The sequence below is a fragment of the Homo sapiens genome, chromosome 13 (assembly GCF_000001405.40).
Source record: "Homo sapiens chromosome 13, GRCh38.p14 Primary Assembly".
NCBI lineage: Eukaryota > Metazoa > Chordata > Mammalia > Primates > Hominidae > Homo > Homo sapiens.
In genome coordinates, this window is record NC_000013.11 from 109,056,243 (window position 1) to 109,075,789 (window position 19,547).

Consider the following 19,547-nt stretch of genomic DNA (forward strand, 5'->3'; position numbering starts at 1 on the left):
AGGATAAGCTCTTGTCACGTGTCCTCATCTTCATGTCTGTATTAGCCCTTCTCCCATGGTAGCCTTATCCCAGCCATTTGCAAGAAGCACCTAAACTCACCAAAAGCAACATCATCCCCTCAGGCTACATATTTGTTCATTTGTATTTTATTTGATCAGAAACTTTAGTCTGATTTTAAGTAAATTATAATCCTCACTGATGAATCCATTTTAAGTAAATTGGTTGATGGGTAGTAACTTAATTTACAGATATATGCTACTAAGCACTATTCCAGGCCTCATCTTTAGGTACATTGTTGTGCTATACACTCTAGCTTGATGAATGTCCCAGTTTAGACAGGTAAATGCATACGCAAATAATGGCCATTCAGTGCTTGTAATATTACAAAGGGTTGGAATATTACATGGGTTGGAATATTACAAAGTGTTACAGAAGCATAGTAAGAAGGTAATTTGGGATCAGAGATAGCTTTCAAAGATATTTGAAAGATATTACAATCCTGGTGAAAATAATGAGACTATCTGTTTTTAAGCATTCAAACAATAAAACAGGGGTGGGCAAAAAGGAAATCAGAAGACATTTGGTAATTCTATATAAAATAAATGAGATCTTAAAATAATACTGATGTAAACTAATATAAGTATTGCAAGTGTGAAATCTCGCATTTATGTTTAAAAATTAACTATACAACTACAGTATGAAAAAGTCTGTTTGATAAACCATTCATCCAAAAAAGAGAGATTTTGAGACTTTTGTTGACTAGTTCAATGTGAGCCACTATTTTGAGGAAGCTGTGAAACAAAAACAAAATAAGCAAGCCAACAAACTTAAATAACTACATTTGAAATATTTAATTCAGAACAAAGGGAATAATATTTAAACGATGACTAAAATTCTGTGTTTAATTTTTATAACATTTGTTTTCCCAGAGGAAATAAGCCGCATTTACTTATTGTGCATTTTGGTAAATTTTATAAAGACACATAGAAGAAAATAAACAACATATGAGTTCAGCTTGAGCCTTCCATTTTAAAGGGGTAGTAGAATATGTTTAGAAGATAGAAGATAAGCAGAACCACATGGGGATGGATGTATTTAAACTGTAGAATATGTATTTCAGATAGACAAGATATTTGTGTTTAAAATTTAAAAGGTGCTTGTAAATGAGATAATAGACATGTTGTCTCTTAATTTATAAGGAATAACTACAAAGTTGGGCTTACACAGAAATAAATCAAAGCTGGATATAATACTTCTGGGGGTTGTTTTGGACAGGAGTCATAGTAGCTATCACTGACTGTTGCAGGGCTTTGGGAAGGACGGCTCCTGACTCGTCTCTTTCTGGTCCCTCGGTGGATATCCCTTCATAGTCTTCAGAGATGCCGAACCTGTTAAGAGCTGATATTTCTTACATTTTATAGTGTGTGTATTAAAGGTCAGCCCTCCCACCTTCTTAAGTGTAGATGGCCTTTGGTTCGAGTTTAAAAATGCTCTTGTGTAAGTTTAAAACAATAGATTCCCCAAATTTATCCCAAACTTTCTGAATCAGTATCAACAGGGAGTAGGGACCGGGCTCCCCCTGGTTTGTAGCTCCAGAGATGATTCAATATGAAATAGAATGGAGAGTGTCAGTCCTAAGGCTGAGGTCTCAGGAAGTGATCCGCGGGGGCCTCAGAGGGTGATGAGCCTTGAGACGTTACAATTTGTTTAACTGTAGTAACTCCCTCTTTAGTGTTACCCAAAACAGCAGTTCTCTGACATGAGTGCACATCAAAATCACCTGGAGGCTTCTTAAAATATGGATTCCTGGGCTCCCCACCCCAAGTTCAGATTCAGTAGGTCTAGCGGAGGCCTGTGAATTTGCATTTTTAAAAAGTTTCCAGCTGATGTTAACATTGTTGCCATGTGAACGGCACTTTGAGAACCCCTGGCATGGAATCTCTAGTCATCTGGGGACAATGTTTTTGTTTTGTTTTGCTTCCCCCCAGCCAAATGTTGAAAGGGTGCCGGTGCCTTGGTGATCAAAGCAAACTTGTGGGGAATGTATAATCTCCAGCCTCACCCCAGGTTCACTCAATCAAAATCTGCAAATTCATCAGAATTCCTCAGTGACTGGTATGCAGTTGAAGTTTCAGAAGCACTATCCAGGCAGACCTTGGAGACGTAGTAGGTTCAGTGATGGACTACCATAATAAAGCTAATACCATAATAAAGCAAATCACATAAAGTTTTTGGTTTCCCGCTGCATATAAAAGTTATATTTGCACTATCCTATAATCTGTTCTGTGCAATAGCATTACATCTAAAACACAATATGATACCTTAATTTTAAAATATTTTTTGCTAACTAATGCTAACAATGGTCTGAGTCTTTGGCAAGTCATAATCTTTTTGCTGGTGGAGGATTTTGCCTTGATGTTGCTGGCTGCTGACCCATCAGGCTGATGGTTGCTGAAGGCTAGGGTGGCTGTAGTAATCTCTTAAAATGAAACAATCAAGCTTGCTACATCCATTGACTCCCTTTCATGAAAAATGTCTCTGTAGCATGCGAAGCTGCAACAGCATTTTACCCAGAGTAGAACGTCTTTCAAAATTCGAGTCAATCTTCTGAACTCTTACCACTGCTTTATCAACTGAGTTTATGGAATTTCTAAATCCTTTGTTGTCATTTCAACAATGTTCACAGCATCTTCACCAGTAGTAGATTCCATCTCAAGAAAACACTTTGTTCATCCATAAGCAGCAACTCCTCATCCATTAATATTTGATCATGAGGTTGCCGCAGTTCAGTCACATCTCCAGGCTCCACTTCTAATTTTGGTTCTATTGTTGTTTCCACCACATCTGCAGTTGCTTTCTCCACTGGCGTATTGAACCCCTCAAAGTCATTCATGAAGATGGGAATCAATTGCTTCCAAATCCCATTCATGTTGATATTTTTACCTACCATAAATCACAAATATTCTTAGGAGCATTTAGAATGGTGAATACTTTCCAGAAGGTTTCCAGTTTGCTTTGCCCAAATTCATCAGAAAAATCACTACCTGTGGCACCTATATCCTTAGAGAATCTATTCTTACATAATTCCTCCTTGATCCATGGGCTGCTGAATGGATACTGTGTTAGCAGGCATGAAAACAACATTCAATTCCTTCAGCAGTTTTTGGGTGACCAGGTGCATTGTCAATAAGCACCAGTATTTTGCAAGAATTTTTTTCTGAGCAGTAGTTCTCAACAGTGAACTTCAAATATTTAGTAAACCATGCTGTAAATTGATGTGCTTTTTTTCATATGTTTGTTGGCCGCATAAATGTCTTCTTTTGAGAAGTATCTGTTCATATGATTCACCCACTTTTTGATGGGGTTGCTTTTTTCTTGTAAATTTGTTTAAGTTCCTTGTAGATTCTGGATGTTAGACCTTTGTGAGACGGATGGATTGCAAAAATTTTGCCCCACTCTGTAGGTTGCTTGTTCACTCTGATGATGGTTTCTTTTGCTCTGCAGAAGCTCTTTAGTTTATTTAGATCCCATCTATCAATTTTGGCTTCTGTTGCAATTACTTTTGGTGTTTTAGTCATGAAGTCCTTGCCCATGCCTGTGTCCTGAGTGGTATTGCCTAGGTTTTCTTCTAGGGTTTTTATGGGTTTGGCTTTTATGTTTAAGTCTTTAATCCATCTTGAGTCAAAACCACAATGAGATACCATGTCAGTTAGAATGGTGATCATTAAAAAGTCGGAAAACAACAGATGCTGGAGAGGATGTGGAGAAATAGGAATGCTCTTACACTGTTGGTGGCAGTGTAAATTAGTTCAACCATTGTGGAAGACAATATGGCAATTCCTCAAGGATCTAGAACCAGAAATACCATTTGACCCAGCAATCACATTACTGGGTATATACTCAAAGGATTATAAATCATGCTGCTATAAAGACACATTCACATGTATGTTTATTTCAGCACTATTTGCAATAGCAAAGACTGGAACCAACCCAAATGCCCATCAATGATAGACTGGATAAAGAAATTGTGACACATATACACCGTGGAATACTATGCAGCCATAAAAAGAATGAGCTCATGTCCTTTGCAGGGACATGGATGAAGCTGGAACCCATCATTATCAGCAAACTGACACAGGAGCAGAAAACCAAACACTGCATGTTCTCACTCATAAGTGAGAGTTGAACAATGAAATCACATGGACACAGGGAGGGGAGCATCACACACTGGGGCCTGTCGGGGGCTGGGGGGCAAGGGGACGGAGACCATTAGGGCAAATACCTAATGCATGTGGGGCTTAAAACCTAGATGACGGGTTGATAGGTGCAGCAAACCACCATGACACATGTATACCTATGTAACAAACCTGCATATTCTGCACATGTATCCCAGAACTTGAAGTAAAATTGTTTTTTAGAAATGGATGTGCTGTCATCCATGCTTTGTTATTCCATTTATATAGCAAAGGGAGGGTAGACTTAGCATAATTCTTGAAGGCCCTAGGATTTTTGGAATTGCAAATGATAATTGGCTTCAACTTAAAATTACCAGCTGTATTAGCCCCTCACAAGAGAGTCAGCCTGGCCTTCGAAGCTTTGAAGCCAGGTATTGTCCCATCTCTAGCTGTGAAATTCCTAGGTGGCATCTTCTTCCAATCAAAGGCTATTTCACCTACATAGAAAATCTGTTGTTTGCTGTGGCCACCTTTATCAATTATTTTAGTTAGCTGTTCTAGATAACTTGCTGCAGCTTTACATCAAATGTGCTGTTTCTCCTCACCCCTTCATGTTACGGAGACAGTTTGTTTCCTCAAATCTCATGAATCAACCTCTGTTATCTTCCAGCATTTTTCCTGCAGTTTCCTCACCTCTCTCAGCCTTCATAAAATTGAAGAGTTAGGGCCTTTCTCTGGATTAGGCTTTGGCTTAAGGGAATATTGTGGCTGATCTTATCTTCTGTCCAGACCACTCAGACCTTCTCCATATCGGCAATAAGGCAGTTTCACCTTCTTACATTCGTGTGCCCACAAGAATAGCACTTTGAGTTTCCTTCAATAACTTTTCTTTTGCATTCACAGCTTGGCTGTTTGGTGCAAGAGATCTAGCTCTTGGCCCGTCTTGACTTTTGACATGCTTTCCCTCCTAAGCTTAATCATTTCCAGCTTCTGATTAAAAGTGAGAGATGTGCATCTCTTCCTTTTATGTAAAAACTTCGTGACCATTGCAAGTTTATTAATTAGTCTGATTTTAATAATTCTGTGTTTCAGTGAATAGGGAGGTCCAAGAAGAGGGAGAGAGAGGTGGGGGAACACTTGGTAGGTTGAACAGTGAGAACACACATGACACGTATTGATGAAGTTTGTTTTCTTATATCGGTGTGGTTTGTGGCACGCCAAAACAATTATAATAGTCACAGCAATGATTGCTGACCACAGGTCACCATAACAGATATAATATTAATGAAAAGGTTTTAAATATGACAGGCATTACCCAATGCAAAGCAGAGAAGTGAAGTGTGAACGTGTTGGAAAAACTATGCTTCAATTTGTGAAAAATGCAATGTCTGCAACACCACAACAAAATGAGGTGCACCTGTGCAGGATGCGAAATGGGATTTATCTCACTCAGCCAATAATAGAAAAGTGCATTTAGTGTATTTTTTTTCTGTTTCCTTAATGTTATTAGAGTTCCTTAGATCTGTGACATCAAAGATTCTCTTCATTAAAGGGACCTTAGTGGTTGTCCAGCGTAACCTTTGTTAGCTACGTGAATATTTCTAACCATTATTCCAACAGTTATCCAAATTGCTCTATTTCCCCAGAAGAGAGTGGAGGGAGAAAGAGAGAGAGAGAGATATCATAAAATTAGAAAATTATTTTTACCTTTGCTTTTGTATATTTCCAAGTCAGTTTTATATACACTCTGTTAGGATTACGCTTTTGCTAAAATAGTAAATGCAATTAATACTTAAAAATTGAGTATAATTTTTATATGTATGCAATAGACTATAACTTCTTCTAAATGAGGATCGTATCGTATTCATTCACAATGCTTGTGCATTGTCGGTGTTTAACAAATGTTTTCAAAATGAACTTGGCATTGGAGATTAAGTGGTCGTTCATTTTAAAGTAATATTTCTGCATAACAGAGACCATAGGCATACTGTAAAAAGTACAGTGAGTAAAAAGGAATAGTGAGGATGAGAAATGGTACTTTTAGGTAATTCTTTGCATTTCTTTTAGCATTCCTTTATTTGAAGTAAGATGTGATTTCTCTTTCTTATCTTTATCTGTAATGGCATATCAGTGGAAATGGAATTATGAATTTATTTTAGAGGAAATCTGCCCCTATCTCTCTGGCATTTAGGATGCCAGTCTGAAATAATATTACAAAAAATATTGATTCATAGAGAGATTATCAGTTTCTGTAGAAACTGAAGAATTTAAGTAACATACAATCAAAATACTGTTACATCAAGAAATAGCATATTTTAGTATTTCTTGAGTATTCAAGAAGCTCATCAAGTCTTTGAAATGCCTCCAGGCAATGGAAACATCATTATAAAAAACAAAGCCTTGAGGTGTAATTTAATAGAAATTTTTGGTTGTTTGTTTGGTTACCAAATTTTCAGGTAAAGAATGTATTATCCCTATGCAAAATATTTATTTTGTATTTATATCACCTTGTCTTAACTGTCAGAGAATAAAAATCTATCAAAATGACTTCATTAAGTATACAAGAAAGAATATGATTACCACAAAAATCTTGAACAACAACAACAAAATGTCCAGTTTTGCCGTTGGGAAGTAAGCAACCACTGCTTTGAATGGGATTTATTGTTTCTGAAGTCTGACATGACAATAAATGTGGATAATGGACATTTGTTGGACTTTGTAGGTGGACATGAGGTTGTAAATTTGCATCATGGTATCTTGGCTGTAATAACTGTCCATCATTCTGAGTCTTTCTAATTGAAACTGGAGGATCGCTTTAGTTGAGAGGATACTATTTTGATTAAATATAGAAAAGTATGCTTGTCAATATTTTTTTCTGTTTATTACTTGTGTAATACAGCTTCAGAGCGGGATTATAAAGACTTAAGGACTCTGTCTTCAATGGCAAGAGACTTCACTAGTTTGGAGACAGGAGGAACAATAAAAGAAGCAGCAGGAAAATTATGTGCAAATTATGGTACATAATTGGATTGCCTACAGCTGTGGACTTACTGTGTCCTCCTGTAAATTCATATGTGACTTCATTTGGAGGTGGAACCTCTAAGAAGGTAATTAAAGTTGAATGAGGGCATAGGAATGTGACTGGCACAAGAATGTGGCTGGCACCTTGATCTTGGCCTTCTCAGCCTCCAGAACTGTGAGAAATAGATTTCTGTTTTTTAAGCTGCTCAATCTACAGTATGTTGTTATAGCAGCCCACCCCAACTAAAACAGCCGTGTTTGTGTGTTCATTTGGTGTCAATAGGCAGCAAAGTTATATATATTGTGTTTGGAATTTTGGAATTAAGTTTATGTTACTTGATACTTATGCTGATAGAAGGAAATATGGCTTACCTGAACATACCATGTGGTTTCAAAGATTTTGAGGCATCGTATGTGTCAATCCCATCATCTTTTCTACCTTGTTTCCTTCACTGCTATTCAAGGTTCACTCAGGCATCCTCTCCTTTGGAAGACATTTTATAAAATACCAGATAAGTTGGTATCTCTAAGGTTCAAACTGTGTTGTATAATACAATTATCATATGCCTATTAGATCATGCTGGAAATATCCATGTATGTATTCATTTCAACCACCAGACCAGAGGTTAGAAAATGACAGCCACTGAGCCAAATCTGGCCTGCCATCTGCTTTCATGTGGCCTGAGAGCTAAGAATATTTTTTTACATTTTTAAATGGTTACATTTAAACGGTTATATAAGTACCTATATAATATCCTCAGTTTTGCCTCTTAGCATGCAAAGCCTAAAATATTTACTCTCTGGCCCTTTACAGGAAAAGTTTGCTTATCTCTGCCTTAGACCATAAAAGGGGTTTGCCTGGCTTCCAGCAAGAGGCTGGTCACCCTTCCTGCCTCTGCATCCAAACTCTGTGCAACTGAAGGAAAAAGTCTGATCTACTCTTCAGTAGATCTCAATAATGTTCTCTAATGTTGGTCTCATTCTTCAGTTTATCAGATCTTTTACTGATGGCACTGTAAAAGCCAAGTTCCACCAATATGTTCTGTAGAACAAAAAATCCTAAATCAGTGGCTTGCAACAGCAAATGTTTATTTCTCTCTTGCATTGCATTTGAGTGTGGTTTAGAAGTAGCATACCTAAGCTCAAACCAGCTCCAATCTTTGTTGTTATTATTATTGTTTTTGTTTTTAATGGGATTCAGGTTTAAAGACTAGCCCAGATCTAGGATATGCTCTTCCTGAGTCATAGGGAGGAACAAAAAAAAGGCTGAATGAGTGTTACAGAGGCTACTGAAGTGTGGCCTGTGTCATTCCCAAGTATCCCATTGGTTAAAACCAGTCACTTGGCCAAGACCAACATAGATAGGGTGGAGAAGTGCCCTCCTCATAGGGATGTACTGCAAAACACATAACAAAGGGTTGGAAATGCATCAACTTCTGGCTGAATTATCTGTTATTGTGTATTGGACCATCCCCAAACTCAGTGGCATAAAACAGCCATATATTTTTTTCTCTCACTGCTGTGAGCTAACTGGGATTAGTGGGCAATGCTTGCTTGGGGCCTCTTCCCCAGTTGCAGCCATATGGCTGAAGAAGTGGGTGTTAGCTAAGGCCTGGCTGGGCTGGGGGATGCACACGATGGTCCCTTCACTCCTATGCCTGGTGCCTCTGTTCCTCCAGGTGACTCTCTCTCTGGCAGAATAGCCCAGACTTTTTACCCACTGGGTCAAGTTTCCATGGACAAGGAAAGAAGCTTGCAGCCTTCTTAAAAGCTAGGCCTGGACTTGGCACAGCATCACTCTCGCTGTATTCTATTCATCAAAGCACTTGAAACCAACCCAGATATGTTCAATGGGGAGCATCCATGTATAGCCCCAATTTGAGACAAGCTACTATCCTTTAAAAGACAGGACTTGCAAGTGATGGGAAAGAATAAAAACCCTTCCACAGCCATGTCTATACATATTAATTATTATTTTCATCTCTCCCCGATATGTATATGTTAGTTTAATGTGTTGAATAATATAAAACCATTTATTTTTTTCAAAATTGTAGAATTGAAAGAAAGGGTAATAGGAGGCCATGCTGAAAAAAAAAAAAAGAAAAAGAAAATTTAAAAAACTGCTTTGAAAAGTCCCTACAGGAGATGTTTTATATGGTCTCAGCCACCTTTCCCAAAGCTGCCTTTATCACCCTGTATGCTTGTGGAATTCTCATCCATACATCTTTGTTTCCAATGGTCATGAAGGGCTGTGGCAGAATTGTGGTCCTATGGCTCTCTCTCAAGGTGTCACTCCTCTCCATCTTCATCCCGGCTTATGAGGAACAAACATCGGAGTCTTAACTCCAGATCCGGGGTAGCAAACTTGCATAGGTCACATCCATCAGTCATTTAAAGGATTATTTATGGTTGGCAGAGAAGAGTAGGGTAACTAAATGGAGAAGTTTACTATTTAATGAGGAGAACTTATTTGGAAAAGACAGAAGGACTTGTCAATGAAAGCACCAGAGGGTTGGCTATTATGCTTGGCATGGTGAGGGACCGTGAGCTGTGTTTTTAGATTGTTACTGGATGAAATCCCTCTCAGAAATAGCCCGAACCATTTAGCTTGCCTAAATGACACAGTTGTTGCTGAAAAGCCTCACTATGAAAGGACACAGCCATGATGTTAAATTGGGTGTTCGGAGAGGGATGAAAGAAGACACACTTCCATCTATTGGATTAAAGCTAACGGACAGTGGCTACCCAATGAGGCAGACCCTCGCTAGAGAAACAGCCTGTGCTGGAGTCTTTTAAAAGTCTGCCTTGTTACATGTTGGAGATGCCAACTACTGTCAATGCATCCTTTAGAGAAGTGTGAATTAATAAGGTCAGGAGATGTTAAATATTCTTAACAGCTTGAATTAGCAGACGATAAACTTTCTCCAAGGTAATTTTGCCAAATCTAACCATTTTCTTTCTGCTGAAACTGTTCTTGAGTGTTGGCTGCTTGTTTAAGGTTTAACGAAGTTTGAGAGGAAAGAGGACCTGTAACTTTTCAATGAAATGTAAAAGATGACAGAGGAGCTTAAACAACGCTTCCAGAAGTCACTTTAGCTTAAATGTAATAAAGTATATCTTTACTGAGAATTTGTTATGCTGCTCAGTACATTATGGATCATAAGATTTCCCATATTATTCTTCAAGGATCTGCACACTTTTTGTATAAAGGACCAAATAGTACGTATTGTAGACTTTATGGCCATGTGGTCTCTGATCCAGCTGCTCAACTGGGCCTCTCCAGCAGAAAGCAGCGGTTGACAGTATTTAAACTAATGGGTCAAGTGGTGTTCCAGTAAACCGACAAAAACAGGAGGTGGCTGGTTTTGGCTCAAGGGCAACTAAACCTTGATCTACTCGCACTCAGCTTCTTTCTAATATAGTTGGGGAAGATTTTTTAGAAAAACGGACGATTTGAAAGGCAACTTGGCTGTTTCGTTTCATAATCTGGCTCGGATCCTAATTTCTACTCTACCAAGTGGTATGATCCCCCATAACAGCATCCACTCATTCGTTCATCATTCATTTCTTCATTCCTTATTTGCTCACTCTTATTTCATACAAGCAGTTTACTAAATCAGAACGTCAGTGTAACTTAGGAGTCTGCATGAATGCAGCATCACAGTCATCATCATGGGTCACCGCTGTGTACCTGCTGGGAGTCGGACTCCACACTCTTCACTGTATACTCACTATCCTTCTCCTTATAATAACCATTTAGAGTAACTACTCTCATTATGTAGACATTTGTTATTATGTAATTAATATTTGCCATAGCTTTGATTTAATGTTTTTCCAAATAACATTTATCAGTATTTACTAGGCAATGGGCACTGCGCTAAGCCCTTCACAAGCATCATCTCATTTAATCCTCATAGCACTCGTGTAAAGTTGATTATTGCCATCATTCCTATTTTACAGCTGAGAAAACAGTTCCCAGGAGGTAGGTTCAAAGTCTCACATCTCATCCCTAAGGGTGTCTCTAACCACTACAGGACATGAGATTTGTACTGATATTGGCCCTGTTCCAAAGTAGTTGTTGGTTCCAATTCTTCCACAATGGCGTGCTGTTTCTGAGGCTTGACTGTCATTAGCATCCACCCTCAATTGCACAGGCACATCAGGACGGCACTGTGACATCAGGTGAAAAGAAGGCCTTGGAGAGTTCTAAAATTCAGCTGTGGGCCTTACACTCTGGATTGCCTTTGGTCGGCTTCCTGAAAAACAACCCAGTTAATTTTGTAGAGTTTCCTGGACTGCAGCCAGTCCCATACCTCTCACCAGCCATCCCACAGACTCGTTCGTGGCGTAAGGCAGCTGGGTATGAAATGAGGCTGAATCAGTCACAACCTTTGGAAAATCAGCTCAAAGAACAATAAGAAAAGCGATGTCTACAAATGAAGGATTGTACATTTTCGCTTAAAACAATGTGAAAATGAAAATAAAAAGTCTTTAATAACTTCCTAACAACCTAACGACCTCTGAAACAAATACGCAAAGCTGACCAGCCCAAATGATTTAAAACGAATATATAATTCCACTGAGCCAACATTCAATACCACACAAATGAAACGAAGGTGATTATTCCAGGAAAATAAACAGAGATCTATTTGCAACCCTAATTCAATATTTTGAGAGTTGCAATATACTTTTAATACAATTGTGAGGTCCATAAAAAAATTCAGTCCCAGAATTCTGAATATTTTTATTAAAAAATGCAATATCAGATTTTGAATCTTGGAGCTTGAAGAAGCAGAGGGAAACAACTGTTTCTTTGCAAGCAGTTTGTTCACAAGTTTTCTTCCCTAGATTAACGATTAAATTAGTCTACCACTTCACCTTCCTTTAGGAAGTGGGAAAGGTTAGAGAGTGGCCCAGCAGGTCACTCTGCCTCCATCTCCAAGGAAGCATCAGACTAGAAGTTTCTCTGTGTAGCGTTCTGCCATGTTTTACTTTCTGGAACTGCTGGTCTCATCCAGTAAACTTATAATAATGGGCATGGCTATACGCCTGGGGTGATATTTAGTCTTTAAGAATATTCTTTCTCTCATCTTCATGAGCACACCACTTCTTCATTGTGTATCCTTCTGGGACCACTGATAAGCCATGAATTTTTTTTTTTTTTTTTTGAGGTGGAGTTTCGCTCTTTCTTGCCCAAGCTGGAGTGCAATGGCACAGTCTTGGCTCACTGCAACCTCCACCTCCCGAGTTCAAGCTATTCTCCTGCCTCAGCCTCCGGAATAGCCGGGATTACAGGCATGTGCCACCATGCTCAGCTAATTTTGTATTTTTAGTAGAGAAGGGGTTTCACCATGTTGGTCAGGCTGGTCTCAAACTCCTGACCTCAGGTGATCCGCCCACCTTGGCCTCCCAAAGTGCTGGAATTACAGGTGAGAGCCACCGTGCCCAGCCCAGCAATGTAAATTTTGTACCCAAAGAAACTGAAATGGGTCAATAGTCAACAATGTGTTACTTTATCGATCTCCAGGCCACTCTACATTCAAGGCTGTGAATTCATTCTATTTCCCATCCCAAACCTTGCCCTGACACATTGTCCAATGTAGTTCATCAGGGATCCTGTAACCAGAATAAATGAAAGTGTTAAAATAAAACAAAAGAGCAGTTCTAATAATAAAATCCCAATAGCCTCGATATCCCTCCATATTTGACTGGAAGTCTGCTTCCATTATTAAGTTCCCAGTGAGAAAGGAAAGTTCAAAGATCAATATGCTTTGTAAATTAAAGTCCAGAGATATTCAGTTCCAATGGAATTGAAATCCCAAATCTGATTATCTTGCCTTTCTGAGTTAAATGTCCAAAATTTTGTATGCATAAGTTAAATTATTGTCCCCAAATCATCCTTTGCATTTTCTTATTTTACTCAGTCTTAGCTAAAGAGGTTCCAGACATCTTGGTAGAGCTGAGACACTTCAGCATTGTAGTCTGAGCTGTCAATCATTGTATTAGCCTGCTTGGGCTGCCATATCAAAATAACAGACTAGATGGCTTAAAAAACATTCATTTTTTCACAGTCTGGAGGCTAAAAGTCCAAGATTAAGGCACCAGAAAGCAAGCTGGCATCTAGTGTGTGCTTGCCCCTCAGTTGTAGAGGGGCTCTACACTGTGTGCTCATATGACCTCATGGCTTTTCTTTGGTACATACATGCCATGGGAAGTCAAGAAGGAGGTCGGGGGAGTGCTAGCTTTCTCATGTCTCTTCTTATAAGGACACTAATCCTATTGAATCAGGGCCCCACCCTTATGACCTAATTTAGCCTTAATTACTTCTCAAGGGATCTATCTCCAAATCCAGTTACATTGGGGATTTGGAGACTTCAACATATGAATTTTAAGAGGTCACAAGCATTCAGTCCATAACACTTATCTCAATAGATGTGGCTAATCCAGGGCCTCACTTGTCTTAATTCAGTGCCAAGTCTCTCATGATCTTTACATTGAGAGTCCAGTGAATAAATAGCAGGCACAACTATTAGGGCACTAATCTCACACACAATTAATTTAGAAATCTGTCTCTAGTCTTCAGAGCAGTGTATTGCCAGCAGAATTATTCTAGAATCTAATACTGTATGTGGCTAAAGACAATGGTGATTTTATAGTGTATGGACCAAACCAAGACATATTTCATAGTAAAACAAGGAACAATTAATAATTTTACCAGGAATATAGGTATTAAACTGGGACTGTCCTGACAAAGCAGGACATACAGTCATCCTATCTTTATACTGCTCCATCTTCCCATAAGTCTCATTGGATTTCATCACCAGGATTCTGTATTCTGTAATTCCCAATAGACTCTAAGCTCCATTAAGGAAGGCCTTCCACTGTATGCCCATCGCCTGGCACTAGTGGGTGACCAACAGGTATTTGTTGAATGGACTAACACACAAATGATTAATGTTTTAGTTTTCTGTATAGTTTTATAGTTGAGCTCTAAATTTTGTGTCTTAGGTGTAATGTTTATTGATATCCCATACAAGACATATCAATAGACCTAAACAGTTGTTATTATCTTACCAGCTTAAAGAGTTTGGTTTAACTATGAGTAAATGTTTCCATTTTAGGGTAGCCATTTACTCTTTAGAGTGAGATAATGATCCCAGGTTTTGACATTGGGTGGGTTAATAATAGTCTTTCTCCCCAAAAAAGCACCCTGAGTCATTTTCTGAAATATCTACCCATGTAGTAACTATGAAATGAGGAATAGATTAGTACTTCTGTTTTATCTTTTAAAGGTTACCTTTCATTGTTCTTTCTTAGGTCTTTGAAATGCTTTGTTAACTGACAGCATTCTTTGTAATATTCCTAAGGTGAAGCATCAATTTATACACGGAAATATGTTTAGGGATAAAAACATCAAATCACAGTAGACACTGTATTGGTGATCTCATGTTTAGGTGAGAAGCTATTTTTAACTGAGAAAAATTCAGTTAGAGCTGACCCACTTTACAGTATTTCCACAGAATACTCATGGCATGCTCTACTACCAACTACATCATTGTGAGACCCTAGCACTTGAACTTGAAAACTTAGTTTTGTGGCAACTTAAGTACTAAATACTTATATTATATGACATAAAGATGTCCATTTTTATCAGAATCTATTCTGGAATAAAAATAATTTGTTTTATTGTCTAGAAATCCATATTTTTTTAAAAAACACGTCATTTGCTAAAGAATGAAAAGGATGATGACAATATTTTTTCAACTTTAAAATAGTATTCTTATAAATATTTTCGCATTTATGACAAAACATCTATTTTTTATAAGTTCCCAACTACTGTCTCTACAGTTGTCAAAACTTGGATAACTTTATATTAGAAAGAAACTTTTTATATATTCAAAACAATGAAATTTGCAGAAGAATGAATGCTATTACAAAGTGTCCTGAAAATTAGCAGTGCGTATAGTGAGGGAATGAGGAAAATACTTTAATAGGAAATATGTGAGCCACCTCAATCACTGATGAATGATGAGAGACAGGGGCAATGTGACCTTTTTCCAGCTCTGATCATTATGACACTAAAAATCAGAGTCCCATTCACAAATCAGAATACAACATGTGGCATTCATCAAAATTATGTTCTCTGTTTTGAAAGAACTTCTTCTATTAAGTCTCTACAAGGCTAAGAAATATAAGTTAACCATTTATACATTAGATTTGGTAAATCAGTGATTATTTAACAATAGAGTAAAACATGAAAATTATACCTATACTTTTTTTTAATTAACGATGACCTACACATTATTTAAAGATTGTCTTTCCTAGAATTACCAAGAAGAGACTTTAAAGAGGAATCATCACAGGAACTAGTAAAATATCTATTGGTCTTGTCCTAGTGAAAGATACATTTGAGGCAAGTATACACTCAGGTAATCCATTTTCTATGCCCAACACACTGCCTGGCTAAGACCAATGTTAATGCCATAATCACCTTCCCACACTTGAATGAAAAACTTCAGCACTGAATTTCATATTTTATAGTTGGCTTTAGTTCTTTATTGTACTATGGTTATGCTGCCAATAAAGCATACACATTCTGATAACAAGAAATGTTATCACCAGTGTGCTGGGTGTTGAGAAAATACAGACCTTGATTGAAGGTTCATCTCAAAACAGCTTCTGTGCTCTAGCTGTGTTTCTTGTTTCAGACGCTCATCAGCTTCACAATCCAGGTTAGGTCCTCTTGGTAAATCTCTCAAGGCGCATGTTCACTTTCAATTTTTACGATCGATGTTATAAAGTAACTTGGAGATGCAATGGTAGCAATGTCTTTTCCCATTCTGGATCTTTGTCATTGGAATAGAAAATATTTGGAATAAAGATTTGCTCTTCCCACTATCCCATAATATCTTCTCACAATCTTATCTAGATGCAAGCTGAGTGATATTTACAAGCATCCCATTTTACATTGTGTCCCCTCACCTTTCCCTGGGCCTGGTACAAGGTTACTTCCTCATTAATTATCATTTTGCTCTTGAAATAATTAATACAGATTTCAACTTATAATTGGAAATTTTCCAGGGAATCCTCTTTTTCTTTTGCTACTCCTAATGGTTATAAAATCTGTGGCATTAAACACACACACACACACACACACACACACTCACACACTCTCACACAACCCAAGCATTCTTCAGACCAAATTATTTAAATCAGTGCCTCTCAACCACGGCTGCTCACTAGACATACCAGGGCATTTTGCAACATGGATGGCGGAGTTGGGCCTGTGCAGTAGGTAAGGTTGTGATAAGACATAGAATATTTCAGATAAACAACAAATGTCAAAGACTAAAAAAACAAGATTATGTCTTAAGGATGCCGTGACATTTCCTGGTTGAGAATTTGAAGCATTCCTCACTCCTTTGTCTTTTGTTTCCTTCCATCCTTTACTCTCATCTTCTTTCCTTTCTTCCTTCAACAAATATTTATGGATTGTCTGCTACGTACAAGGAATTCTTAACTACAACAGCTAATTGAGTGCCCTTGCAGTTCTTATAGACTACATTAGGATATTCAAATCCATTATTTTATAAGATACATTTCAATTTTCTATTTGATTTATGTTAATTATTGTTAAATATTGAGTATAGAGTGAAATTATGGAATATCTTTTTTTTTTTGAGATGGAGTCTCGTCCTGTCACCCAGGCTGCAGTGTAGTGGCGCAATCTCAGCTCACTGGAACCTCCTCCTCCTGGGTTCAAGCGATTCTCCTGCCTCAGCATCCCGAGTAGCTAGGATTACAGGCACATGAGACCACTCCTGGCTAATTTTTTTTTTTTTTGTATCTTTTTAGTAGAGACAGAGTTTCACCATGTTGGCCAGGTTGGTCTCGAACTCCTGACCTCATGATCCACCCACCTTGGCCTCCCGAAGTTGTGTGATTACAGGCATGAGCCACTGCACACGGCCTGTGGAATATCTTTATATTCCACAGGTGATCTGCATTCAAATTATTAAAAAGCATGAAGAAAAAATGAATTCCTTCATTTAGTGTACATTTTCATCTTTGTCCCATTATTTAGAAATAAGGGGTATCTAAGCCTAAAACACATACAGAAATACATGCTTTTAACCAATAGACAAGTACCTGCTGATGTAGAAATAGGGTGATTTGGTGTGTGAATTTATTAGGCCACTGACTGCCTATGCTATGTATTATCAATTTTTTCTGAAAATGTTATATACATTGACCAAATAACAGATGTTCTTCTGCTCTTCAGCATATCCTAGTGAGACTAATCCTCACCGGTTAAATATATTCATAACTGTAACATCCAGAATGTAGCACTTATCCAATACAAGTGACTAATATGAGTAGTTTTGCTGTTGGCCAGACACTGTGAAAGCGTGCATTATGTAATCTCATCTGCCTAGCAGTTTGGTGAGCTACGCTGTGATTCCTGTCAAGATCTCAAGCTCGGTTCACCTGAGTCCATTTTCTTTGCTTTTTGCACCACGGGAAGGTACTCCTTCAGTGTTTACTTTTGTGCAAACTATACATCAGAAGGAGAAACCATTTTGGTTTTGATGGTAGTCATCCAGGACAGATTTTTTAAGTTTCTCTGAATTATTTTCATGAATGGACATTTATTTATTTTTAACAATTTTAACAGTTTTATTGAAATGTAATTGACCTACCTTCACCTTGTTTTTGGTAAAGAAAAAAATTGTGTTTTTACATAAACATACACCCATGAGCCCAAGATGGTAACATCTATCACCCCCCAAAAATGCTTCCAGCCCTTTTATAGTGTCACTTTCTTACCTGTCACCAAGTTCTCATCCCCAGACAAGCATTGATATGCTTTTGCCTCCTGTATTAGTCCGTTTTCACACTGCTATAAAGAACTACCTGAGAATGGACAATTTGTAAAGAAAGTAAGTTTAATTGACTCTCAGTTCTGCATGGCTTGGGAGGCCTCAGGAAACTTACAGTCACGGTAGAAGGCAAAGGAGAAGCAGGCATGTCTTATGTGGTGGCAGGAGACAGAGAGCAAGGGGGGAAGTGCCACACTTAAGCCCTCAGATCTTGTGAGAACTCTCTATCACGAGAACAGCATGGGGGAACATCCACACTTACACCCTTAGATCTCGTGAGAACTCAACATCAGGGGAACAGCATGGGGAACATCCACACTTACACCATCAGATCTCATGAAAACTCACCATCAGGAGAACAGCGTGGGGGAACCAGCACACTTACACCATCAGATCTCATGAGAACTCACTATCACAAAAACAGCATGGGGGAACTGCTACACTTACGCTATCAGATCTCATGAGAACTCACCATCAGGAGAACAGCACGGGGGAACCACCCCATGATCCAAACACTTTCAACCAGGTCCCTTCCCCAACATGTAGGGATTACAATTCAACATGAGATTTGGGTGGGAGCACAGAGCCAAACCATGTCACCTCCTATAAATTAATTTCATTTTCTATTTTTTAAATAAATGGCACCATAAATTGTTTACTCTTGCGTCTGGTTTCCTTCACTCAGCATCATAATTTTGACATTCATCTATATTGTTATAGTCCGTTCTTTTTTATTGCTGAGTTGTCTTAATTTTGTATATTTACACACCCATTGATAGATATTTGGGTTTTCTCAGTTTTGGGTTATTACAAGTAGAGCTTCTATGAACCACTGATGTACAAGTGTTTATATAGACATGTTCTCACTTTTTGAGGGAGTGGGAAAATTATAGGAGTAGAATGGCTAAGGCATAGCGTTAGTGTATGGTTATGGTTTTTAAAAACTGCCAAACTGTTTTCCAAATTGGTTGTTCCCTTTTGTCTTCCCGTCTCCTGTCCAACACGTGGTTTGATCAGTCTTTTACATTTCTGGCATTAAAATGAATTTATACCAGCATTTCCTTTTTTTTTCTTTTTCTTTTTCTTTTGAGATGGAGTCTCACTCTGTCACCCAGGCTGGAGTACAATGGCATGGTCTTGGCTCACTGCAACCTCCACCTCCTGGGTTCAAGCGATTCTCCCGCCTCAGCCTCCCAAGTAGCTGGTACTACAGGTGTGGCTAATTTTTGTATTTTTAGTAGAGACGGGGTTTCACTATGTTGGCCAGGCTGGTCTCGAACTCCTGACCTCGTGATCTGCCTGCCCAACCCTCCCAAAGTGCTAGGATTACAGGCATGAGCCACCGCACCTGGCCTGAAAATCTTTTTATGGGCTTATTTGCCATCCTTACATCTTCTTTAGTGAATTTTCTGTTCAGGTATGTTGCATAAATAGTATCATGTTGATTGCTTTTTCGAGTTCTTTATATAT

At 38.3% G+C, this 19,547-nt stretch overlaps 1 protein-coding gene across 7 annotated transcripts in view; it reads left to right on the forward strand.

Moving 5' to 3' along the window:
- MYO16 (myosin XVI) overlaps window positions 1–19,547 on the forward strand; it is a 712,290-nt gene that overhangs the window by 560,527 nt on the left and 132,216 nt on the right. The window lies entirely within an intron of this gene.